General features: G+C 44.6%; 1 protein-coding gene and 1 pseudogene across 5 annotated transcripts, besides 5 other annotated features; both read left to right on the forward strand.

The window, feature by feature from the left end:
• Positions 1-865: an enhancer, noted in NCBI's record as "H3K27ac hESC enhancer chr19:53836118-53836982 (GRCh37/hg19 assembly coordinates)". NCBI's record gives its function as "activates a minimal SCP1, AML or CMV promoter by ChIP-STARR-seq in primed H9 embryonic stem cells {active_cell/tissue: H9 hESC(primed)}" and the evidence as "EXISTENCE:reporter gene assay evidence [ECO:0000049][PMID:30033119]".
• Positions 1-893: a biological region, named in NCBI's record as "H3K27ac hESC enhancer GRCh37_chr19:53836118-53836982".
• Positions 674-893: a silencer, noted in NCBI's record as "silent region_11006". NCBI's record gives its function as "represses an Ori minimal core promoter by ATAC-STARR-seq in GM12878 lymphoblastoid cells {active_cell/tissue: GM12878}" and the evidence as "EXISTENCE:reporter gene assay evidence [ECO:0000049][PMID:35858748]".
• Positions 885-24,042, forward strand: ZNF845 (zinc finger protein 845). 5 transcript variants are annotated; one of them, NM_001321522.2, is made up of 5 exons: positions 885-928; positions 7,907-8,061; positions 8,371-8,458; positions 12,642-12,768; positions 17,954-24,042. In NM_001321522.2, exons 3-5 carry the CDS (start codon positions 8,444-8,446, stop codon positions 20,722-20,724), a joined length of 2,913 nt encoding a protein of 970 aa, NP_001308451.1. In that variant the 5' UTR covers positions 885-928; positions 7,907-8,061; positions 8,371-8,443; the 3' UTR covers positions 20,725-24,042. The 5 variants fall into 5 exon arrangements, with proteins under 5 accessions (NP_001308451.1, NP_001308453.1, NP_001308452.1 ...); NM_001321524.2 differs by having other exon boundaries at positions 7,960-8,061; NM_001321523.2 differs by having other exon boundaries at positions 7,968-8,061.
• Positions 964-1,013: an enhancer, noted in NCBI's record as "active region_15064". NCBI's record gives its function as "activates an Ori minimal core promoter by ATAC-STARR-seq in GM12878 lymphoblastoid cells {active_cell/tissue: GM12878}" and the evidence as "EXISTENCE:reporter gene assay evidence [ECO:0000049][PMID:35858748]".
• Positions 1,284-1,373: an enhancer, noted in NCBI's record as "active region_15065". NCBI's record gives its function as "activates an Ori minimal core promoter by ATAC-STARR-seq in GM12878 lymphoblastoid cells {active_cell/tissue: GM12878}" and the evidence as "EXISTENCE:reporter gene assay evidence [ECO:0000049][PMID:35858748]".
• Positions 20,729-21,692, forward strand: LOC107987264 (putative zinc finger protein 137; annotated as a pseudogene).
• Positions 24,043-25,403: the final 1,361 nt, after the last annotated feature.

A 25,403-nucleotide genomic window follows, 5' to 3' on the forward strand; every position in this document is an offset into this window, starting at 1 on the left:
GAGGTGAAGGTTGCAGTGAGCCGAGATCTCGCCACTGCACTCCAGCCTGGGTGACAGAGAAATACTCTGTCTCAAAAAAGAAAAGAAAAGAAAAGAAAAATCTAAATATAAAAATGAAAGTAATAGATCTCTTCCACAAATGTGCTGGGACAACTAACTGGATATCCACGTGAAAATGAATAATGTTGGATCCCTAACTCACAAAATCAAAAATTTTATTTAAAGAAATTTTAAAAAAGGAGAGAGAGAGAGACGAGGAAGGGAGCGCTGCCGGAGGAGGTGTTACTTTGTCGCCCAGGCTAACTTGGACCCCCCCCCCGGCTCAGCGATCCTCCTGCCACTGCTTCCTGAGTAGCTGGGACCTCAGGCTTTCGCCCCGCGCCCGCATCTCTGCTGTGTTTAAGCAGTAGGTGGTGACCTCACTCCTCCCTGGCCTGAGCACTCCGTCCCGCATCCCAGGGGGAGGCCCTAGGGAAATCTCTGAAGCTGAGGACAGGGTGGACTCTCCTTTCCCAGTGAATGGAGAATAGAAAGGGAGAGGATTTCTATTCTGTTCTGTGGGCCGTCAGCATGAAATCGTATGTTCCACCCAGGCAGGGCTTTGCATTTCACATTCTAGTTTGCATCCCCGTTTCAGACAATTCCAGGGCTTTTGAATCATGCCTCAGCCTTCCTGTCCGGTCTCGCCTCCAAAGCTCGAAAACAAGAGGCGCTGGGAGCGAGGTTGAGAGACGCACGGGTCCCACCCCGGCCCCGCCTTCTGCCAATTCTAAAGGGGAAGGTCTCTCCGCTTCGCGCCCCGCCCCTACCTCGCTCAGGCCCCGCCTACCTCCCCGCGGGTCCCGCCCAGGCCTGGCTTCTGTCCTGCGCGCGCAGATTCGCGCAAACCCGGAAGCGGATCGCATGGAGTGATGGTCCCACCGCAGCGGTGAGTTTTGCTCTGTGTTGTGTTAAGTCTGCGCTTCCCAAGTCCCCGGCGCTTCTGTACCTGGGACGTGGGGTCCCCATAGACCTGGAAATTCTCACCCGTGTTCCTTCACCTAGAGCAAATTTAGACGTCCTCGTCAGAGTCCAGGGGTCGCTTCCTTTTGGGTTTAAAGTCGCCCTGAGGATGGTCCCTTCCCGAATCTTTCTGCTATAGGGCAATGTATACACTTCCCATCGCGTAGTTTCCCTGCTCAAAACCTTTTTCTGACTCCTCCCGACCCGCACTTTTTAAAGTCCTTACCGCGAGGCGGATTCCCGCCCTTGGCGCCTCCCAGTCTTGTCTTAAGGCGCCGTCGCCCCCCACCTCCCTCCTCGTTCCAGGCCCTTATGCTCCCCAGGTCTCCCCACCGCAGTCACCGCTTACCCTGAGCCCGCGTTGGGGAGGTGCCCGGGGCTGTCCTATGACACCGGGTGTTCTTGCCTGCCCTGCACCAGCCCCTGGAAAATGCGCTCCTCCGGGATGCAGGCGTCTTACTCCAAAGCCCTCCTGTGATTGTGTTGGCCAAAGGGATCAGGAGACTGAGAGAGAGAGCAGTAGAAAACCTGAGACAGAGAAAAGAAGAATGAGAAAGACCATAACAGATGGCAAAGTAGAGGATGAGTGAGGGATTTGCCAAGAGAGAGCAAAAATGAAAAAAACAAAACAAAACAAAAAACAGCAGGAGGAGCAGATCCCAGGGAAAAAGAAAACAAGAGCTAGAGAGAGAAGGGGAGAATGAGAGATATGTACAGAATTAGGGAGGGAAGCACAGTAATGAAGAAAGGGGGGCTGGGCGCAGTGGCTCACGCCTGTAATCCTAGCACTTTAGGAGACTGGGGCAGAGGGATTGCTTGAGTCCAGGAGTTCAAGACCGGCCTGGGCAAAATAGTGAGACCCCCCCCCCCATCTCTGTCAAAAAAAAAAAAAATTTAACTGGGCGTGATGGTGCACACCTGTAATCCCAGCTGCTCTGGAGGCTGAGGCAGGAGGATCACTTGAGCCCAGGAGGTCCAGGCTGCAGTGAGCAGAGATCATGCCACTGCACTCCAGCCTGGTCAACAGAGCAGAGCCTGTCTCAAAAGATTAAAAGGGGTGGGGGACTTTGGGTTCAGATGAGTGGGTGAGTTCATTGGATATGATTAGTTGTGATATGTTGACTTCTGTTTATATAATCTAATAACTTAGAACTTGTTTAAATTATACAGATGATATTGAGAATTTTAAAATTCCTATCTATAAGACACATACATTCTGTAAATCTTGGCATTAGAGGTCAGCTTCCACTTGGAATCCCTATTCAGCCAGAGGGTAGTGACTTAATTCAATTGTGAGAGCCTCTCTTCCCTCTTCCCATGGTGAGGTAGGAAATGGGGCAGTGAAGTGGGAGAAAAAAATCACTTTCTGTTATTATGTAATAATTTTAATTTAATTAATTAATTTATAGTTTGAGACAGGGTCTGGCTCTGTCGCCCAGGCTGGGGTGCAGTGGTGTGATCTCCTCTAACTGCAGCCTCGACCTCCTAGGCTCAAGCGATCCTCTTACCTCAGCCTCCTGAGTAGCTGGGACCACAGGCGTGAGCCACCAAGTCCGGCTAGGTTTTGTATTTTTTTTTTGTAGAAATGGGGTTTCACTGTTTCCCAGGCTGGTCTCAATTCTGGCCTCAAAGGATCGTCCTGCCTTGGCCTCCCAAATTACTGGGATTACAGGTGGAATTACAGAGAGGAGCCACCGTGCCTGGCCTACATAGTCGTTTTTTGTTTTTTGTTTTTGTTTTTGTTTTTGTTTTTTTGAGATGGAATCTCACTCTTGTCCAGGATGGAGTGCAATGGCACAATCTCGGCTCGCTGCAATTTCCGCTTCCCAGGTTCAGACTGATTCTACTGCCTCAGCCTCCCAAGTAGCTGGGATTACAGGCATGAGCCACTGCATCCAGCTAATTTTGTGTTTTTAGTAGAGACGGGGTTTCTCCATGTTGGTCAGGCTGGTCTCAAACTCCCAACCTCAGATGATCCACCCGCCTTGGCCCCCCAAATGCTGGGATTACAGGCATGAGCCACCACGCCTGGCCCATAGTACTTTTTAAAAGGGACATCAGGGCGTAGTGGCTCATGCCTGTAATCCCAGCACTTTGGGAGGCGGAGGCAGGTGGATCACAAGGATCACAAGGTCAGGAATTCAAGACCAGCGTGACCAACATGGTGAAATCCCATTGCTCCTAAAAATTCAAAAATTAGTTGGGCATGGTGGCATGCACCTCTAATTCCAGCTACTTAGGAGGCTGAGGCAGGAGAATCACTTGAACCCAGGAGGCGGAGGTTGCAGTGAGCCAAGATTGCGCCACTGCATTCCATCCTGGGCGAGAGCGAGACTCCATCTCAAAAAAAAAAAAAAAAGGAACATCAAAGCTGGGCGTGGTGGCTCATGCCTGTAATCCCAGCACTTTGGGAGCCAATCACCTAAGGTCAGTAGTTTGAGATCATTCTGGCCAACATGGTGAAACCCTGTGTCTAGTAAAAATACTAAAAAAGTAAGCTGGGCATGGTGGCATGCATCTGTAGTTCCAGCTGCTCGGGAGCCTGAGGCATGAGAATCACATGAACTTGGGAGGTAGAGGTTGCAGTGAACCGAAATGGTACCACTGCACTGCAGCCTGGGGGGCAGAGCGAGGCTTCATCTCAAAAAAACAAACACCACCACCAAAAAATGAAAGCAAAAGGCACATCAAAAGTGCTTTTGTTCTCGTTGTGTAACATATTTTCTTTTTTTTCTTTCTGGTTCCTCTTCCTTCCTTTCTTTCTTTCTTTTTTTTTTTTTTTTTTTTGCAGTTTTACTTTGAGATAAATCTTAGTTTTAAATATTTCTTTTTTAATACATAATCACTTCTGAAAGATGCATTTGCAGCATCCTATAACCAGCTCACATTGTTCAGTTATTTTCCCATTGACATCTGAATTTGTTCGATTTTTTAAAAAACAATTTCCAAATAGTTTCTGTTTGAAATTAGTTGCGTCCAGTTCAGATCGAGGTCTGCATGCTTTCTAGTCTTTATTATTTATTGGAAACCTTTAACATCAAAATGTAGTTTAACGAGTTAGCCTGTTTTTCAGTTTTGTTGTCATTTGTTAAAATCTTGAGCTGTGAGCTATTAAGTGCATGTTTCCCTCAAGGCACCTCTGGTCCATGTGGACAAATGTTGAAAGCCCAACTCCTCACTGTGGCTCCATAGCCCTGTGTCCAGGGCCCCTGCCAGTGTCCAGCCTCCTCCTGGGAGCTTGCCCTCATCGCATGACTGTCTCTGCCCCAGTCATATTTGCTTTTCTCTTTTCCCAAACACTAAAACCCTTCCTGTCTCAGGTTGCTGTCCCTGCTCTTACCCTGTGTTCCTAAATGATCACGGCCCTGTGCCTTTCTTCTCCTTCAGGTCTAGGCTCAGAGATGTCTCCCATGCCCTCCCACCCCCATCTGAAGTTCCCTCTGCCCGTCAGTCTCTATCACGTTACTCAGATTTTATTATCTCTGCATCAGTCACATCAGAAACACTCTTTTTATTTTATTTTCTTTTTTTTAGACAGAGTCTCACTCTACCGTCCAGGCTGTGAGTGTAGTCTGGTGACCTTCTCTCCCTGCAACCTCTGTCTTCTAGGTTCAAGCAATTCTTCTGCCTCACCCTTGCAAGCAGCTGAAATTAAATGTGTGTGCCACCACAGCCAGCTAATTTTTGTATTTTAATTTTAATTTAATTTAATTTAATTTTACTTTTGAGTTTCAATCTGTCTCCCAGGCTGGAGTGCAGTGGCGTAATCATGGTTCACTGCAACCTCCTCCTCCCGGGTTAAAGTGATTCTCCTGCCTCAGCCTCCTGAGTAGCTGGGATTACAGAGTCGCACCAAGCCCAGCTACTTTTTGTATTTTTAGTAGAGATGGAGTTTCACCATCTTGGTCAGGCTGGTCTCGAACTCCAGACCTTAAGTAATCCACCTGCCTTGGCCTCCCAGAGTGCTAGGGTACAGGTATGAGCCACCGCGCCCGCCCCAATTTTTGTATTTTTAGTAGAGACAGGGTTTCACCTTGTTGGCCAGGCTTATCTCAAACTCATGACCTCAGGTGATCCGTCTGCCTAGGCCTACCCGTGTGCTGGGATTACAGGCAAGAGCCACAGTGCCCGCCCAGAGATGCCTTTCTGCATGGATTATTTTGAGTGTTTTGTGTCTCCCTTCTTTGGAGGATGCACAGTTCCCATCTTGGCCACAGGACAACTGCAGCACCTACTCTGGGGTTGTGGTTCAGATGCTGAGGCGTCTTCAGGGAAGACTCAGGGCCTGGGGCAAGTGCAAGGATGGTCCCACATTTCTTCTGGAAATTTCAATTCTAATTGATCTGAACTTCCTGTGGCTATTTATTTCAGTCAAAATAAAAGGAGAAGGCCTCACTAAGGTCAGAAAGCCCTACAGACCAGACCCTGTGTCCTCAGGCAGTGCCGAGGCATCTCCATTTTTGTCATCTGTGTCACTGCCTCACTCCAGCTCCCGGGTCTCCGTGCTCTGTACATCACCAGGACCCAGTTTGGCCATTATGGGCAGGGGCTTTGCCACCAGTAGGTGATGCGCTCAGCGTCAAGGGTCCTGGATTCCCTTCAGGAAGGGTGGGGAGAAGGTCAGGGACCTGAGGGGCATGAAGGACACACTCCTACACAACTAGTTCTGTTCCGGAGCAGCTGGAGGCTCCGTGACTTTAGGAAAGATTCTTCCAAGAATCAAGAGTGCAAACAGCACCGTGAACTGCAGCCCGAGGGCCACCTCCTCCTGCCAGGCCAGTGGTGATGACGCTCTACTGGCTTTTCCTTGCCTGTCACAACACGTGAGCACACACACACACACACACACACACACGCACACACACACTCCCACACACACAGTCACAAGGCAGCTGGGGAGTCGAAGGTCAAGATGCTATAATGTAAATGTGTGGCCGTGTGTGGTGGCTCACGCCTGTAGTCCTACAGCTTTGGGAGGCTAAGGCAGGCAGATGATGAAGTCAGGAGTTCGAGACCAGCCTGGCCAACATAGTGAAATCCCATCTCTACTAAAAAAAAAAAAGAAAGAAAGAAAGAAAAAAAAATGAGCCAGGCATGGTGGTGCACATCTGTAATCCCAGCTACTCGGGAAACTGAAGCAGGAGAATGGCTCGAACCTGGGAGGCAGAGGTTGCAGTGAGCCGAGATCGCGCCATTGCACTACAGCATGGTGACAGAGCAAGACTCCATCTCTAAATAAATAAATAAATGTGCTATAATGTAAATGTGGAGCACAAATATTTTTTCCACAAAGAGGGGCCACTGGTTCCTGGGAAGGGAGTTTGAGGGTTATAGCCCTGGTCATGGCCAGAAGACTTAGGAACTGGAGGAAGGAAAAGCTGTATTTATCCTCACAGGATGCTCCTGTGAACAGATGGGCTGATCTAATGGAGTGACATTTAGAAAAAGGGGTTTTTCTCTCCACCCAGCACACACCGTCACCCACCCTATGCACAGTCCTCCCTTTCCCGTTGTCTTCTCTAGAATGACAAAGTTGATGCTTCCCCAGGTGGGCGTCTGAGGGAGGGGAGTGGTTTCCCTGCCTGTCCTTGATCCCCTCCCTCAAGTCTTCCACCTTCGTGTCCGCTGTTCTGTTCTGACACTCATTGCCTGCAATTCTATCGGTTTGCACCATCCCAAGACCCAACTAAGACCCAAGGATTTGAGTCTGGGAATATTTAAGCCAATGTCATTGCCAAGTCAGAAGTCTTAGACCCCAGGAATTTTTCTTCATTGAGAGTCTGGGCAGCCAGGAAGCCTCTCCTCTTTCTGCAGAGTTGAGGTCAACCAGGACCCTGGCACATGTGAGACCCCAGAGGGGACATACTAGTATCACTCAGTCATTCTCATTCATTCACTCACTCAGTAGCTATGAAGCTATAGTATATGCCAGGGGACACAAATAGAGGTGCTGTCTGTGCCAGGGATCAAAATGTTAAACCAACAGACTATCCTTCCCTGCTTTATCCAGGTTATTTTTCATTTTTATTTATTTGAGGTGGAGTCTCACTCTGTCACCCAGGCTGAAGTGCAGTGGTGCGATCTTGGCTCACTGCAACCTCCAACCTCTGGGTTCAAGCGATTCTCGTGCGTCAGCCTCCCAAGTAGCTGGGACTACAGGCACACGCCACCATGCCTGGCTAATTATTTGTTTATTTATTTTGAGACAGAGTTTTGCTCTTGTGTCCCAGGCTGGAGTGCAGTGCCGTGATCTTGGCTCACTGCAACCTCTGCCTCTGGAGTTTAAGCGATTCTCATGCCTCAGCCTCCTGAGCAGTGGCGATTACAGGCGTGTGCTACCATGCCCAGCTAATTTTTGTATTTTTGGTAGAGACAGGGTTTCACCATGTTGGCCAGGCTGGTTTCGAACTTCTGACGTCAAGTGATCTGTCCGCTTTGGCCTCCCAACGTGCTGGGATTGCAGGTGTGAGCCACTGTGCCCAGCCTCATCTCGTGGCTTTAAACTTTACCCCCATGGCCCCATGGCCCCTGCAGACCTCTCCCCTGAACGCTACAGTCCTGTGTCCAGTTGACTCCTTAACTCTCTGCTGGGAGGATGAACAGGCATCTCCACCTTCATGTGTCCAAAGGTGACTTCCCGAACTTCCGTAAACGCATTCCCCCATGCTCCTGCCCTTCTCAGATGAGGGTGACCTTGTGCTTCCTAGGATATCACTAAAATCTCAGCATGCTTTTAAAATGTAAAGGATAATTACATTGTTTATAAGGGTTTTAATTTGTAATATAAAGAAAAAATTACATGTTTACTCACAATGGGTGAAGAAATTCATCATTTTAAAAATTCTTTGGAGGTGTGGGAGAAAAATGTTAGAAGACCTCATCCCTGCCTGATCTGCCCTCCCAGGTCCTCTCTGACCTCATCTGTTTCCCGTGTCCTCCTCCCTCCCTCTGCTCCAGCCATGCAGGCGTCTTTCCTGTTCCTGGGCCGAGGTTGCTCCTGCCTCAAGGCGTTCATGTGGGCTGTCCCTCTGCTGGAACTCGCTGGCCCCTCAGCTGCAGGTGCAAACACCCCTCCTTCCCCAGGTCTCTGTTCTGATATCACCTTCTCAGTGGGGACTTCTGTGACCCACCTCCCATTTCACACTCCAGCTACACCCTCACCCCCTCCTCTGGTCCATATTGGCTGCTCTGCATGCTTCTTTCTGTTTTTTCACCTTCCACTGCCTGTAGGAGTTTATCGTCCCTGGTACAGTGGGCAGCAGAGGGGACCATATTTCCTCAGGGTGAGGTCTCCTTTGTATGTTTCATTGTGTTAACGGAGGGGGTGTGTTGATTCTGAGCAATAAACAACATATTTTTAACATTCAGGATTGACTTCTAAAGACTCTTGGTACGTGAGGAAGAAACCCGGAAGAGGAAGAGGAAAGCAAAGGAGTCAGGGATGGCTCTTTCTCAGGTGAGATGATATGTTGGGTGGATTGTTCTGTCTCCTTCCTCTCAGAAATCCTGGGCCTTGGAGTTGGGAATCTTCTCTGAGTCTGAAGCATCCTGCCTGACAGGTTTGCTCGCACTCACCCATGCCTTCCCTCAGTCCCTCTCATCTCGCTTAGATTCCATCTCTTGTGACACAGTGACATCAACTTGGGAAGAGGCCGCACTGGGCATGGTCCTGGGAAGGGCTCACACCGAGACATGGATGGAGATGGGATGAGGGCCCCATGGTGTCAGTGCTGTTGGGCAGCAGGGATTGTTCAGGGGCCACATCTGGATGCACTGTCAGCTCTCTGTGAACCAGGATTAGAGCAGCTGCCAATGGAAGTCATGTATTCATGTGCACAAAGTAGGTGGTAAATTCTAGAAAAGGTGACCAATAAGGGGAAACGTTTTCTGCCTGATTTTATACTACATTTTTAGTTTTTTGAGTGAGTTACTGTGTTTCTGACTCCAAAAATCTTAGTAATTAGAATGGAAAGTTCATACACAGACATGAATGATAGAAGATGTTTTATTCCATCATTTCTTTAAGAATAGGAAATCAACCTGAATCATAGCAGGAGATTCATTCAACCATTCTTAGCACATTAAAGCTCATGGAGACTGTGGGGTTACTGCGGAGAGGCTTGTGAAACAGGTGTTTTCAGGAAAAATGGTTATAATTTTTCTCAAATATGGGAGCAGTACTTCATTTTTATCCTAGAGGATGGTGCCATATTCTCATTCCACCTATTATTATTTTTATATTATTATAATATTATTATATTTTAAATATACAAAGTCTTGCTTTGTCGCCCAGGCTGAAGTGCAGTGGCATGATCTTGGCTCACGGCAACCTCCACCTCCCGGGTTCAAGAGATTCTCCTGCCTCAGCCTCCCAAGTATCTGGGATTATAGGCACGCACCACCACACCCGGATAATTTAGTTGCATTTTTATTAGTGACGGGCTATCACCATGTTGGCCAGGCTGGTCTCAAACTTCTGACCTAAGGTGATCTGCCTGCCTCAGCCTCCCAGAGTGCTGGGATTACAGGCATGAGCCGTGCCCAGCCCCACCAATTATTATTAAATATATATTTTTATATGTAAACATCACATGATATATTTATTTGTTTTCTGGTAAAACTCGAAGGAAAGCTGCAGCTTAGACCCATTGCCATAAAGCATCTCTTTTCCCTGTCACGTCCTCCACCCTCCTTCCAGCCTCATTGTGGAGCCGCTACTGTCAGTTCTGTGCCATGGGTCAGAGCAAATCTCGCGCGTCTGTATTTCTGCATCGTTACGAGACTTTAGAAAAAATTCTGCGGTAAATTTAAAAAATATATATTTATGGTTTTACTTTAGGTTTGGGGCGCCATGTTCAGGTTTGTTACATAGGTAAAGTAGGGTCATCAGGGTTTGTTGTACAGATTATTTCATCACTCTGCTATTAATCCCCGTATCCAATAGTTATTTATTTATTTATTTATTTTTTGAGACTGAGTTTTGCTCTTGTTGCCCACGCTGGAGTATAATGGCATGATCTCGGCTCACTGCAACCACTGCCTCCCAGGTTCAGGCGATTCTCCTGCCTCAGCGTCCCGAGTAGGTGACATTACAGGTGCCTGCCACCACTCCTGGCTAGTTTTTGTATTCTTACTAGAGACAGGGTTTCACCATGTTGGCCAGGCTGGTCTTGAACTCCTGACCTCAGGTTATCCACCCACCTTGGCCTCCCAAAGTGCTGGGATTGCAAGCGTGATCCACCGCGCCCAGCCCCCAATAGTTATTTTCTTCTAGTCCTCTCCTTCCTCCCCGCCTCCACCCTCAAGTAGACCCCAATGTCTGTTGTTTTCTTCTTTGTGTTCCAGTAAATATTTTACTTTGATATTTGATCCTACTGGTTGTGAAAATTTACATGTTGTCATGTTAGTTAACATGGCTAGCTTGCCCTTTGACATCTGCATTAGAAATTGACTGGATGACCTGTGTGTTCTTTGCAATTTTTCCCTGTATAAAGAGTGCCATAGTGGCTGCCTCTGTGCACACCTGCGTTACTACAGATACCTGAAGATTCCTCCAGGTCAGGCGGTTGAAAGGGTGATTGCTTCTTCTAGGATGGGGCATTCCCTGTTTTCTTAGATCTGACAAGATTCCCCCCTGCCCCCACCTGCCAATGTATCCTCTTCTACCAAGATGTGATTCTTCTTAAGTTAAACAAAACTTGCCACTTTTTATATTTTTAAAACCTTTCTATATATGCACACCCACCTACACAAGTATACACACACACATGCATATACATACATATATACACACACGTATATATTTTGAACATCTTTTATTTTTTGAATATCTGGGGGAAATGACAATCCTTTGTATTAACATCTAGTTTTTTGTGAGTCTGTGTAGGTTTTATTATTTTGTGGACATATGTATATATAAAATGGATTTTCATACTTTGAGTCATCTAGTTTTCATGTATTTTCTTTTATTTTGAGACTGGGTGTCACTGTGCTGCCGAGGCTGGAGCACAGTGGCGCGATCTTAGCTCACTGCAACCTCCACCCTCAGGCTCAAACCATCCTTCTACCTCAGGCTCCCAAGTAGCTGGAACCACAGGTGCCTGCCACCATGCCCGGCTGATTTTTTTTTTTTGAGATGGAGTCTCTGTTACCCAGGCTGGAGTGCAATGGTGAGATTTAGGATCACTGCAACCTCTGCCTCCTGGGATCAAGCAATTCTGCGTCAGCCTCCTGAGTAACTGGGATAACAGGCATGTGCCACTGTGCCAGGCTGGATTTTAGTTTCTGATCCTGATCTTTCACTGCGGACGTTGTCATCTCTGAAGACATCACTCATACCCTGTCTCATCTAGATACTGAATGTCACTTGCATTGTCAGTAAAAGTTTCTGGGCCAGGCACGGTGGATCACGCCTGTAATCCTAGCACTTTGAGAGGCTGAGGCAGGCAGATCATGAAGTCAGGAGTTTTGAGACCAACCTGGCCAATATGGTGAAACCCCGTTTCTACTAAAAATACAAAAATTAGCTAAGAATAGTGGTGCATGCCAGGAATCCCAGCTCCTCAGGAGACTGAGGCAGGAGAATCACTTGATCCTGGGAGGTGGAGGTTGCAGTGAACTGAGATGGCACCTTTGCATTCCAGCCTGGGTGACAGAGCGAGACTCTGTCTCAAAAAGAAAAAAAAAGTTTCTAACATTTCTGTAACGAGAACCCTACATTGATTTTTATTTTATTTTATTTATTTTATTTTATTTTATTTTATTTTATTTTATTTTATTTTGGGATGGAGTTTCACTCTTGTTGCCCATGCTGGAGTGTAATGGCACAATCTCAGCTCACCACAACCTCCGCCTCCCTGCTTCAAGCAATTCTCCTTCCACAGCCTCCCAGGTAGCTGGGATTACAGGCATGTGCCACAACGCCTGGATGATTTTTGTATTTTTTCTTTTTTAGTAGAAACGGGATTTCTCCATGTTGGTCAGGCAAGTCTTGAACTCCCGACTTCAGGTGATCTGCCTGCCTCAGCCTCCCAAAATGCTGAAATTATAAGCATGAGGCACTGTGCCCGGCTCCTGCATTGATTTCTTTTGTGTGTATTTTTAGTATTATCCACAAACATCAGAAATTCATACTGAGAGGGTATTGTGACCTCTTCAAAAGGTATAAGAAGGCCGGTGTGGTGGCTCATGCCTGTAATCTCAGCACTTTGCGAGGCCGAGGCAGGTGGATCACGAGGTCAGGAGTTCGAGATCAGCCTGACCAATATGGTGAAACTCCGTCTCTACTAAAAATACAAAAATTAGCCAGGCGCGGTGGCACCAGCCTGTAATTCCAGCTACTCATGAGGCTGAGGCAAGAGAATTCCTTGAACCTGGGAGGCAGAGGTTGCTGTGAGCCGATATCGTGCCACTGCACTCCGGCCTGGGTGACAGAGCGAGACTCCGTCTCAAAAAGAAAAAAAAAAAGAAGTGTAATAAAACACAACTCAGAAGACAAAATGTGGTGAAGAATCCCTTACTCGGATTTGTCAGAACATTCACTACAATTAAATCCATGCTTTCCTCTCTCCTCTTCTCATTTCGTGTAAAGATAAGAACTCCTCCCATAACCATTTCCTTAAAATGTGTTTTCATTTCAGGGTCTATTGACATTCAGGGATGTGGCCATAGAATTCTCTCAGGAAGAGTGGAAGTGCCTGGACCCTGCTCAGAGGACTCTATACAGGGACGTGATGCTGGAGAATTATAGGAACCTGGTCTCCCTGGGTGAGGATAACTTCCCTCCAGAAGTGGGGATGTGCCCTTGTGTATCTTTGTATTTTCTCTTTTTTTTAGATACAATGTCTTGCTCTGTCACCCAGGGTGGAGTGAAATGGTGTGATCATGTCTTACTGCAATCTTGAATTCCTGGGCTCATGTGATTGTCCCACCTCAGCCTCCCCCAGTAGCTGGTACAGGTGCATGCCACTATGCCGGGCTACTTTTTTAGTTTTTTTTTTTTTTTGTAGTTGTTGTTTTTGTTTTTGTTTACAAACAAGGTCTTCCTGTGTTGTTGAAGCTGGTCTTGGTCTCCTGGGCTCAAGAGATCCTCCTTGGCCTCCTGAGTAGCTGGGATTACAGGTGCCAACCCCCATACCTAATTATTGGTTTTTATTTTTTAAATTGTAGCATATGTGTGTCCTTAGGGTTTATATGAGTTTTCTTTGGACAACATGTAGTTGGTTCCTGTTGATTGAGCCAGTCTTTGCCTTCTGAGTGCAGAGTTAAATATTTACATTTGAAGTATTACTGATGGAGAAGACCTTACCGTTGTGTTTCTGTTTCATGTTATCTGTATCTCTTGTAGGTTTTTTTGGTTATTCATTTCTCATTTATTACTTTTTGCGTTTAATTGCTTTTTTGTGTAGACATGCTTTGACTCCCTTCTTATTGACTTTTGTTTATGATGGAGTCTCACTCTGTCGCCAAGGCAGCAGTGCCGTATGTGATCTTGGCTCACCGCAGCCGGCTTCGCTCTCGTGCTCAAAAAATTCTCGTGCCCCAGTGGCTCATGCCTGTAATCCCGGCACTTTGGGAGGCCGAGGCAGGCAAATCACCTGAGGTCAGGAGCTCAAAACCAGCCTGGCTAGCGTGGCGAAATTCTGTCTCTACTAAAAATACAAAAATTAGCCAGACACGATGGTGGGTGCCTGTAATCTCAGTTACTCAGGAGGCTGACACAGGAGAGTTGCTTGAACCCGGGAGGCGGAGGTTGCAGTGAACCAAGATCATGCCACTGCACTAGAGTCTGAGAGACAGAGCGACACTCTGTCTCAAAAAAATATTTTCATCACCTGTGAAAACTATTCTTTCTCCACTAGAACTCTTTGTTCTTTATGTTAGAATTATTTCTGTGTGTGTTGCATTTTCAATATCACGTACAGTGTTTTCTCATGCTGTTTTCCTCTAAATAATAGGAAAGTTGTGTTATGAAGAAAAGGTACACTTATACAAGTTTCTGTGTCTATCCTTTTATTTGCTTATTTATTTATTTATTTGACGAAGTTTTGTTCTGTTGCCTAGGCTGGAGTGCAATGGCACAATCTCAGGTCACTGCAACCTCCGACTTCTGGGTTTAAGTGATTCTCCTGCCTCAGTTTTCCGAGTAGCTGGGATTACAGGCCTGTGCCACCATGCCTGGCTAATTTTGTATTTTTAGTAGAGACAGGGTTTCTCCTTGTTGGTCAGACTGGTCTCGAACTTCTGCCCTCAGGTGGTGATCCGCCTGCCTTGGCCTCTTAAAGTGCTGGGATTACAGGTGTGAACCACCGCGCCCAGCTTATCTGTCTTTTTATTTACCTTTACTGGAGAACTTTTTGTATATTTGTGGGTTGGAGTTACTCTTTAGACTTCTTTCATTTCTTTCTTTCTTTTTTTTTTTTTTCTTTCTTGAGAAGGAGTCTGTCTGTTGCCCAGGCTGGAGTGCAGTGGCGCAGTCTTGGCTAACTCCAACCTTTGCCTCCCAGGTTCAAGTGATTCTCCTGCCTCAGTCTCCCAAGCAGCTGGGACTACAGGCACATGCCACCACACCTGGCTGTTTTTTTTTTTTTTTTTCTGTAGAGATGGGGTTTCACCGTGTTAGCCAGAAAGGTGCTGAAAGGATGGTGCTGATCTCCTGATCTTGTGATCCTCCTGCCTCAGCCTCCCAAAGTGCTGAGATTACAGGCATGAACCACCGTGCCCAGCCAGCCTCACAGTTTTTAAAACATGTTATTGTTATTAGATTGGCTTCAAGTATTGCAATAGTACAGTCTCTAAACTTCCTTTGTTTAATAAGATTTGTCAGCCTTCGGTGATGTTGATGATGAGATGTTCCTGTTCCTGTCTCAGTCATTTCACTGTCCTCTCAGAAATAGCTTAGACTGGCCAGCCAAGGTGGCTCACACCTCTAATCCCAGCAGTTTGGGAGGCAGAGGTGAGTGGATCACTTGAAGTCAGGAGTTTGAAACCAGTCTGGCCAACATGGTGAAACATGAAATCTACTAAATACAAAAAATTGGCCAAGTGACCCCACAGACTCACGCCTGTAATCCCAGTTCTTTGGGATGCTGAGACGGGCGGATCACCTGAGTTAAGGAGTTTGAGGCCACCCTGGCCAACGCGGTGAAATCCCGTCTCCACTAAAAATACAAAAATTAGCTGGGCATGGTGGCGGGCACCTGTTATCCCAAGTAACTCGGGAGGCTGAGGCAGGAGAATCACTTGAACCCAGGAGGTGGAGGTTGCAGTGAGCCGACATTGTGCCACTTCACTCCATCCCGGGTGACAGAGTGAGACTCCAGGCTGAGGTGGGAGAATCTCTTCAGGCAGGAGAATCATGCCACTACACTACAGCCTGGGTGATAGAGCGTGACTCAATCTCAAAAACAAACAAAAAAGGTAGTAGCTTAAACTGGGAGGCTTACGGCACAGATATTTATTTCTCATGAATTTGGAAAGTGGGAAATCCAAGAGCAAGGTGCCAGCCACATTGGTTCCTGGTGAGAGCATTCTTCATGGTTTAGCCCAGCCATCTTCCTGCTGTGTCCTGACATGGTGGAAAGAGGAACAGGAAACGAGCTCTTTAATATCTCTTTTTATAAAAGCACTAGTCCTATTCATGAGTAGTCAACACCCATGACCAAATTCTCTCAAAGGCCCCATCTGCAGGAACATCCTATTGGAGAATAAGAACTTTGAACCTGGCTTTTGGCCAATAAGAACATTCAGACCAGGGAGCCTGCATCATCTTGTTAATGTTTTTATTGTGCAATTTGTTATATACAATGTTTTCTCTGATCTCAGTTTATAAATTTTCCCAGTACACATTCTATGTTTTATATTAGTGCATAGTGAACTAGATAACTAAGGCCAATGCTTATATATGGAATTGCTGTATTGCCTGGCTGTTTCATAAATGTAGTTGTGACATCGTAGTTGCACCTTCTGACATTGTTAGTCAATTTTTTTTTTTTTTTTTTTTTTTTTGTGAGACAGAGTCTCACCCTGTCACCCAGGCTGGAGTGCAGTGATGCGATCTCGTCTCACTGCAACCTCCACCGCCTGGGTTCAAACGATTCTCCTGCCTCAGCCTCCCGAGTAGTTGGGATTACAGGCTCCCGCCACCATGCCCAGCTAATTTTTTTTGCATTTTTAGTAGAGTTAGGGTTTCACCATATTGGCCAGGCTGCTCTTGAACTCCTGACCTTGTATCCACCTGCCTTGGACTCCCAAAGTGCTGGGATTACAGGCATGAACCACAGCGCCCAGCCGTTAGTCACTTCTTATTCCTTATAATGCTGTGTGTTTTTTTGACCTCGTACATCAGAAGGTAATGATCTTAACATGTATTTCAGTTCTTATATTGTATGCTGCTGGTAAGTAGAAATTGTGGCTTTTTTTCTGTTTTTTGTTTTTGTTTTTGTTTTGAGACAGAGTGGCGCGATCTCGGCTCACTGCAAGCTCCACCTCCTGGGTTGATGCCATTCTCCTGCCTCAGCCTCCTGAGTAGCTGAGACTACTGCCACCCGCCATCACACCCGGCTAATTTTTTTTTTTTATTTTTAGTAGAGATGGGGTTTCACCTTGTTAGCTAGGATGGTCTCGATCTCCTGACCTCATGATCTGCCCGCCTCAGCCTCCCAAAGTGTTGGGATTACAGGCGTGAACCACTGTGCCCGGCTGTGGCTTTTTTCTTAATAGGAAATTGTTTAGAATTCTGCAGGCTGTATAAATGTACTTATTATTTGCTTGCTGATTTTATGGGTTACGTTATTTTACTAATTAATTTTTATGATTTTACATAAGGCTTTTCGGTATGTGGTATGCAATATAACTGACACAGTCCACTCGTTAATGTCACAAAGTGCTGCCTGGCACTATGGCTCACACTTATAATCCCAGGAGTTTGGGAGGCTCAGGCGCCTAAATTGCTTGAGTCTAAAGTTCGAGGCCAGCCTGTCCAACATGGTGAAACCCCATCTTTACTAAAAACACAAAAATTGGCCAAGCATGGTGATGCATGCCTTTAATCCCAGCTACTCAGGAGGCTGAGGCAGGAGAATGGCTTGAACCCAGCAGGCGGAGGTTACAGTGAGACAAGACTGGGCCATTGCACTCCAGCCTGTTGTGATGGAGTGAGACTTCATCTCAAAAATATAAAAATACAAACAATTTCTTAAAATGTCACAACTTGCCTTTTCTGCATGAATATAAGTAATTTTATAACAGTTATTCAGAAAAATATTGTATTAACTTTTTAATTTTTTTTTCGAGATGGACTCTTGTCACCCAGGCTGAAGTACAGTGGTGCAATCTCAGCTCACTGCAACCTCTGCCTCTTGGGCTCAAGCAATTCTTGTGCCTCAGCCTCCTGAGTAGCTGGGACTACAGGCATGGGCCACCACGCCTTGCTTAATTTTGTAATGTTTTCTTATCTTCTCAGTGCTATGATTGTTTGACAATACAGAATTTCCATTGATTTTGGTTATCCTTACATGAGCTTGTTGTGGATTATTTACCAATATAGTATATTGTGTGGTCTTTTAGCATTTATTTGTATATAGTAAATATGCTGTAAATATGAAGAATATATGCTTTTCTCCTCATTGATGTGACAGTGATATGTTTTTTGCAAAGTCTTATACACTTTAGGGTCACAGTGGAAAAATACTCCTTACTTTAGGCTTATATACATTTGTGTGCTGTCAGTGTTTTGACATGATATTGGAAATAGGCTTCCATAGAAATGATTTCAAGTACATGTAATCGCCCTTTATTTATTGATGAATCTTACCCTTTTGCGTTCCTAAACTTTCAAGATAATGTTTGGGAAGTTTAAAATAAGTATTGTTTTTAGTGTCACATTTACACATTTCAGTATTATTTACCATCTATACTTAAGTGGAAACCTATTGGTGTTTATATTTTCTAGATATCTCTTCCAAATGCATGATGAAGGAGTTCTCATCAACAGCACAAGGCAATACAGAAGTGATCCACACAGGGACATTGCAAAGACATGAACGTCATCACATTGGAGATTTTTGCTTCCAGGAAATGGAGAAAGATATTCATGATTTTGAGTTTCAGTGGAAAGAAGATGAAAGAAATAGCCATGAAGCACCCATGACAGAAATCAAACAGTTGACGGGTAGTACAAACCGACATGATCAAAGGCATGCTGGAAACAAGCCTATTAAAGATCAGCTTGGATCAAGCTTTCATTCGCATCTGCCTGAACTCCACATGTTTCAGACCGAAGGGAAAATTGGTAATCAAGTTGAGAAGTCTATCAACAGTGCTTCGTTGGTTTCAACATCCCAAAGAATTTCTTGTAGGCCTAAAACCCACATTTCTAAGAACTATGGGAATAATTTCCTGAATTCTTCATTACTCACACAAAAGCAGGAAGTACACATGAGAGAAAAATCTTTCCAATGTAATGAGAGTGGCAAAGCCTTTAATTATAGCTCAGTCTTAAGGAAACATCAGATAATCCATTTAGGAGCGAAACAATATAAATGTGATGTGTGTGGCAAGGTCTTTAATCAAAAGCGATATCTTGCATGTCATCGTAGATGTCACACTGGCAAGAAACCTTACAAGTGTAATGATTGTGGCAAGACCTTCAGTCAGGAGTTAACCCTTACATGCCATCATAGACTTCATACTGGAGAGAAACATTACAAGTGCAGTGAGTGTGGCAAGACCTTCAGTCGAAATTCAGCCCTTGTAATTCATAAGGCAATTCATACTGGAGAGAAATCTTACAAGTGTAATGAATGTGGCAAGACCTTCAGTCAAACGTCATACCTTGTGTACCATCGTAGACTTCATACTGGAGAGAAACCTTACAAATGTGAAGAATGTGACAAAGCTTTCAGTTTCAAATCAAACCTTGAAAGACATAGGAAAATTCATACTGGAGAGAAACCTTACAAGTGTAATGAATGCAGCAGGACCTTTAGTCGGAAGTCATCCCTTACACGCCATCGTAGACTTCATACTGGAGAGAAACCTTATAAGTGTAATGATTGTGGCAAGACCTTCAGTCAGATGTCATCCCTTGTATACCATCGTAGACTTCATACTGGAGAGAAACCTTACAAATGTGAAGAATGTGATGAAGCTTTCAGTTTCAAATCGAACCTTGAAAGACATAGGAGAATTCATACTGGAGAGAAACCTTACAAGTGTAATGATTGTGGCAAGACCTTCAGTCAGACATCATCCCTTGTATACCATCGTAGACTTCATACTGGAGAGAAACCTTACAAATGTGAAGAATGTGATGAAGCTTTCAGTTTCAAATCAAACCTTGAAAGACATAGGATAATTCATACTGGAGAGAAACTTTACAAGTGTAATGAATGTGGCAAGACCTTTAGTCGGAAGTCATCCCTTACACGCCATTGTAGACTTCATACTGGAGAGAAACCTTACCAGTGTAATGAGTGTGGCAAAGCCTTTCGTGGGCAGTCAGCACTTATTTACCATCAAGCAATCCATGGTATAGGGAAACTTTACAAATGTAATGATTGTCACCAAGTCTTTAGTAATGCTACAACCATTGCAAATCATTGGAGAATCCATAATGAAGAGAGATCGTACAAGTGTAATAGATGTGGCAAATTTTTCAGACATCGTTCATACCTTGCAGTTCATTGGCGAACTCATAGTGGAGAGAAACCTTACAAATGTGAAGAATGTGATGAAGCTTTCAGTTTCAAATCAAACCTTCAAAGACATAGGAGAATTCATACTGGAGAGAAACCTTACAGGTGTAATGAATGTGGCAAGACCTTTAGTCGGAAGTCATACCTTACATGCCATCGTAGACTTCATACTGGAGAGAAACCTTACAAGTGTAATGAGTGTGGCAAGACCTTCGGTCGAAATTCAGCCCTTATAATTCACAAGGCAATTCATACTGGAGAGAAACCTTACAAGTGTAATGAGTGTGGCAAGGCCTTCAGTCAGAAGTCATCCCTTACATGCCATCTTAGACTTCATACTGGAGAGAAACCTTACAAATGTGAAGAATGTGACAAAGTTTTCAGTCGCAAATCAAGCCTTGAAAAACACAGGAGAATTCATACTGGAGAGAAACCATACAAATGTAAGGTTTGTGACAAAGCTTTTGGGCGTGATTCACACCTGGCACAACATACTAGAATTCACACTGGAGAGAAACCTTACAAGTGTAATGAATGTGGCAAGAACTTCCGTCACAATTCAGCCCTTGTAATTCATAAGGCAATTCATAGTGGAGAGAAACCTTACAAGTGTAATGAGTGTGGCAAGACCTTCCGTCACAATTCAGCCCTTGAAATTCATAAGGCAATTCATACTGGAGAAAAACCTTACAAGTGTAGTGAATGTGGCAAGGTTTTTAATAGAAAAGCAAACCTTTCACGTCATCATAGACTTCATACTGGAGAGAAACCTTACAAGTGTAATAAATGTGGTAAGGTTTTTAATCAACAAGCACACCTTGCATGTCATCATAGAATTCATACTGGAGAGAAACCTTACAAGTGTAATGAGTGTGGCAAAACCTTCCGTCACAATTCAGTCCTTGTAATTCATAAGACAATTCATACTGGAGAGAAACCTTACAAGTGTAATGAATGTGGCAAGGTTTTTAATCGAAAAGCAAAACTTGCACGTCATCATAGAATTCATACTGGAAAGAAACATTAGAAATATGAAGAATGTGACAAAGTTTACAGTTGTAAATCAAGTCTTGAAAGACAGGAGAATTCATACTGGAGAGAAAGCTTACAAATGTAAGAGTTTGTGACAAGAATCTTGGGCGTGATTCACACCTGGCCCAACAAACTAGAAGTCACACTGGAGAGAAACCTTACAAGTGTACTGAGTGTGGCAAAGCCTTTAGTGGGCAGTCAACACTTATTCACCATCAGGCAATCCATGGTATAGGGAAACTTTACTAATGTAATGATTATCACAAAGTCTTCAGTAACACTACAACCGTTTCAAATCATTGGAGAATCCATAATGAGAGATTTTGAAAGTGTAATAAATGTGGCAAATTTTTCAGACATTGTTCATACCTTGCAGTTCATCGGTGAACTCATGCTGGAGAGAAACCTTACAAATGTCATGATTGTGGCAAGGTCTTCAGTCTAGCTTCATCTTATGCAAAACAGGAGACTTCATACAGGAGACAAACTTCACAAGTATGATGATTGCAGCAAAGCCTTTACTTCACGTTCACACCTAATTAGACATCAGAGAATCCATACTGGACAGAAATCTTACAAATGTCATCAGTGTGGCAAGGTCTTCAGTCTGAGATCACCCCTTAAGGAACATCAGAAAATTCATTTTTGAGATGATTGTTCCAAATGCAATGAGTATAGCAAACCATCAAGCATTAATTGGCATTAGAGTCAATTCAGCATTGACTTGAGTTTGAATTGACTTAACATTGAGTTCAAGCATTAATTGACATTAAAGTGTTTATGTTAAGAAGATTGGGCCAGGCGGGGTGGCTCACGCCTGTAATCCCAGCACTTTGGGAGGCCAAGACCAATAGATCACTTGAGGTCAGGAGTTTGAGACCAGACTGGCCAACAGACATGAGTCACTTTTCCCACCCTGTATTTTGTTTCTTTAATAAAAACTGTTACGGGTTTTTATGGGTATCTGTTGAATCTAAATCACATTTGTTTGTATAATCATTCAACAATATTAAGACTTCCAATCCATCAATATGGGTTGTATGTCTATTTAGTTTTTTTGATCAATGTAGATTTCAAGGTACAAGCTTCTCACCTCCTTAATTCAGTTTATTTGTAAGTATTAAGTTTCATAGCAAATTGAAGTGTGTTCATAAGTTTCTTTAAACATTATTTATTGTTAATGTAAGGAAATTCAACTAATTTTGGGTGCTGATTTTGTATTCTGCAAATACATTGAGTGGGTTTATTAGTATCAGTAAAATCTTGGTTGATTCTTTGTGATTTTCTTTCTTTTTTTTTTGAGACAGTCTCACTCTGTTACCCAGGCTCTTTTCTTTTTTTTTGAGAAGGAGTCTCACTCTTGTCACTTGGACTGGAGTACAATGGCACGATCTTGGCTCACTGCAGCCTCTGCCTTTCGGGTTTAAGTGATTCTCCTGCCTACTAACTGAGATTACAGGTGCCTGCCACCATGTCCGTATAATTTTTTTGTATTTTTAGTAGAGACGGGGTTTCACCATGTTGACCAGGTTTTTCTTGAACTCCTGACTTCAGGTGATCCGCCCCCATCAGCATCCCAAAGTTCTGGGATTACAGGTGTGAGCCACCGCACCCAGCCAGTGATTTTCTATATAGAATGTCGTATCATCTACAAGGAAATAATTTTTTTTTTTGAGACAATGTCTCTCTCTGTCGCCAGGCTAGAGTGCCGTGGAATGATCTTTGCTCACTGCAACCTCTGTCTCCCACGTCCAAGCAATTCTGTCTCAGCCTCCTGAGTAGCTGGGACTACAGGCGCATGTCACCACACCTAGCTAATTTATTTATTTTTTTTATTTTAGTAAAGACGGGGTTTCACCATGTTGGCCCAGATGGTGGGCCAACATGGTGAGTACCTTGAAGAGAACTTGAAAGAATATGTTAGATCGCCTAACCTCATTATCCGCCCACTTCGGACTTGCAAATTGCTGGGATTATGGGTGTGAGCCATGAGCCCGGCCCCAACAAATGTAATTTTACTTCTGTCTTTCTGATTTGGATGAGTTTTATTTCTTTTGCTATTTAATTGCTCTGCCTAGGACAGCCAGTATTTATTGAATATCAGGGGTGAGAGCATTCTTGCATCATGTGATATCCTACAGGAAAACCATTCCATTTTCCTTCATTGGTTATTTCAGCTGTGGTCATTTCATGGATGATTTTTATATTTTTGAGGTAAAACTCTACCTATATTGTTTAGGATTTTTACGAAGAATGAATATTGAGTTCTGTGAAATGCTTTTTCTCTATCTATTGAGATAATGTGTTTTTTATCTGTCATTCTGTGCAAGTGTGTATCCCATTGATTTGAGTATGTTGAACCATCCTTGCATCCCATGAATAGGTAGCACTTGGATGTTTACAATCCCTTTTTATATCCTCTTGAATACAGTTTGCTAGTATAAGGGTCTTCAAGAAGTTCATGGAAAAATACATATTATGAAAAATTTGTGCATAAATTTCACACTTTTTGTACCAAAATAAACCAGTATAAACTTGTTATAACGTCTGAACAGGCTCTAGTTTGAGGCACTCAGAAGGATAAGACATCAGTTTGAAAAGAACCTCTATCACAGCAATACAAATTCTGTTAAAACAAGAAGAAACATCAAATTTACGATGAGACCAGACGCAGTGGCTCAGGCCTGTAATCCCAGCGGTTTTAGAGGCCCAGGCAGGTGGGTGACGTGAGCCTAGGGATTCAAGACCAGCCTGGGCGACATAGGGGACCTCTTCTCTGCTAAAAGTAAAAAAAGTCAGCCAGGTGTGGTGGTGCACTGCTGTGGTCCCAGCTACTCTGGGCACTGAAGTGGGAGGATCAGTTGAAGCAGGGATTTTGAGGCTGAAGTGAGCCCTGATCTCACCACTGCACTCCAGCCTGGGTGACAGAGCTAGACCCTGTCTCAAACAAGCAAATAAATGAGAGGCATAATTCCTCCTTTGAGAATAAAGGAAAAGATTTCCCTTCCTTTTGTCTCTTTTCTCAGGACGTTTATTTAGAAAATTTGTAAATGAGGCCGGGCGTGGTGGCTCACGCCTGTAATCCCAGCACTTTGGGAGGCTAAGGTGGGCGGATCACGAGGTCAGGAGATCGAGACCATCCTGGCTAACACGGTGAAACCCCGTCTCTACTAAAAATACAAAAAATTAGCTGGGCGAGGTGGCAGGCACCTGTAGTCCCAGCTACTCGGGAGGTTGAGGCAGGAGAATGGCGTGAACCCAGGGGGGCGGAACCTGCAGTGAGCCGAGATCGCACCACTGCACTCCAGCCTGGGTGACAGCGAGACTCTGTCTCAAAAAAAAAAAAAAAAAAAAAAGAAAATTTGTAAATGTATTTTCTCTGTCTTCAGAAGTGGTATTTTTTAGAAACAATAAAACTTGTTTTCATCTTAGTGGTGATCCAGGGGTGTTTTTCTAAAGGACTTGGGAGTTCTGTCTTTGAAATGCCAACAACAAAAAAGATAGTACATCTATCTCAGTAGTAAATTAAGTAATTCAAAATGAAGCTGGGTGCGGTGCCTCACGCACTTTGGGACAGTGAGGCAGGTGGATCACCTGAGGTCAGGAGTTCGAGACCAGCATGACCAACGTGGTAAAACCCCATCTCTGAGATACAAAGGAGGTTGCAGTGAGTGGAGGTTGCACCACTGCACTCCAGCCTGGGCAACAAGAGTGAAACTACTTCTCAAAAAAAAAGAAAAAAAAATCAAGTAATTCCAATTTAAAGCTGTTGGACCTTTAAATAATCCTACTTTTTTTTTTTTTTTGAGATGGGGTACCCCTCTGCATCACAGGCTGGAGTGTGGTGGCCTAATGTCAGCTCACTGCAACCTCCACCTCCCGGGTTCAAGTGAATCTCCTGCCTCAGCCTCCGGAGTAGCTGGTATTACAGGCATGTGCCACCACGCCCAACTAATTTCTGTATCTCTAGAAGAGATGGGATTTTGCCATGTTGGTCAGCTTGGTCTCCAACTCCAGACCTGAAGAAAGTGATCCGTCTACCTTGACCTCCCAAAGTGCTGGGATTACAGGCATGAGCCACTGCCTCCAGCCTCTTCTTTTTTTTTTTTTTGAGATGGAGTTTCTCTTGTTGCCCAGGCTGAAGTGAAATGATGCTATCTCAGCTCACTGCAATTTCTGCTTCCCAGGTTCAAGCAATTATCCTACCTCAGCCTAAACCTACCAAAATCAAAATGGCTAGGAGAGTGACCTGTGGTCGTCCTCACTGCTACACCCCCACCAGCTCCATGACAGTTTAAAAATGCCATGGCAACGTCAGAAAGCTACGCTATAAGGTCTGAAGAGGGGAAGCATGAATAATTCACCCCTTGTTTAGTAGATCATTAAGAACCTCACTCATCCCTGGCCTGCGTACTCTGTCCCGCATCCCAGGCGGTGGCCCTAGGGAAGTCTCCGGAGCTGAGCACAGGGTGGACTCTCCCTCCCGAGTGAATGAGGAATAGGGAGAGGATTTCTACTCTGTTCTGTGGGCCTTCAGCATAAAATTGCTCTTTCCACCCAGGCAGAGATTTGCATTTTACATTCTAGTTTGCATCCCCGTTTCAGGCAATTCCAGGGCTTTTGAATTATGCTTCAGCATCCCGGGCGGGTCTCGCCTCCAAAACCTGGAAAACA

The sequence above is a fragment of the Homo sapiens genome, chromosome 19 (genome assembly GCF_000001405.40).
Source record: "Homo sapiens chromosome 19, GRCh38.p14 Primary Assembly".
Taxonomy (NCBI): Eukaryota; Metazoa; Chordata; class Mammalia; order Primates; family Hominidae; genus Homo; species Homo sapiens.

What these genes read in the sequence shown, in the direction of transcription:
- ZNF845 (NM_001321522.2), top strand. An exon ending in TAGGAACCTGGTCTCCCTGG is followed by an intron (nt 12,769 to 17,953) that starts GTGAGGATAACT and finishes TATATTTTCTAG; the next exon opens with ATATCTCTTCCAAATGCATG.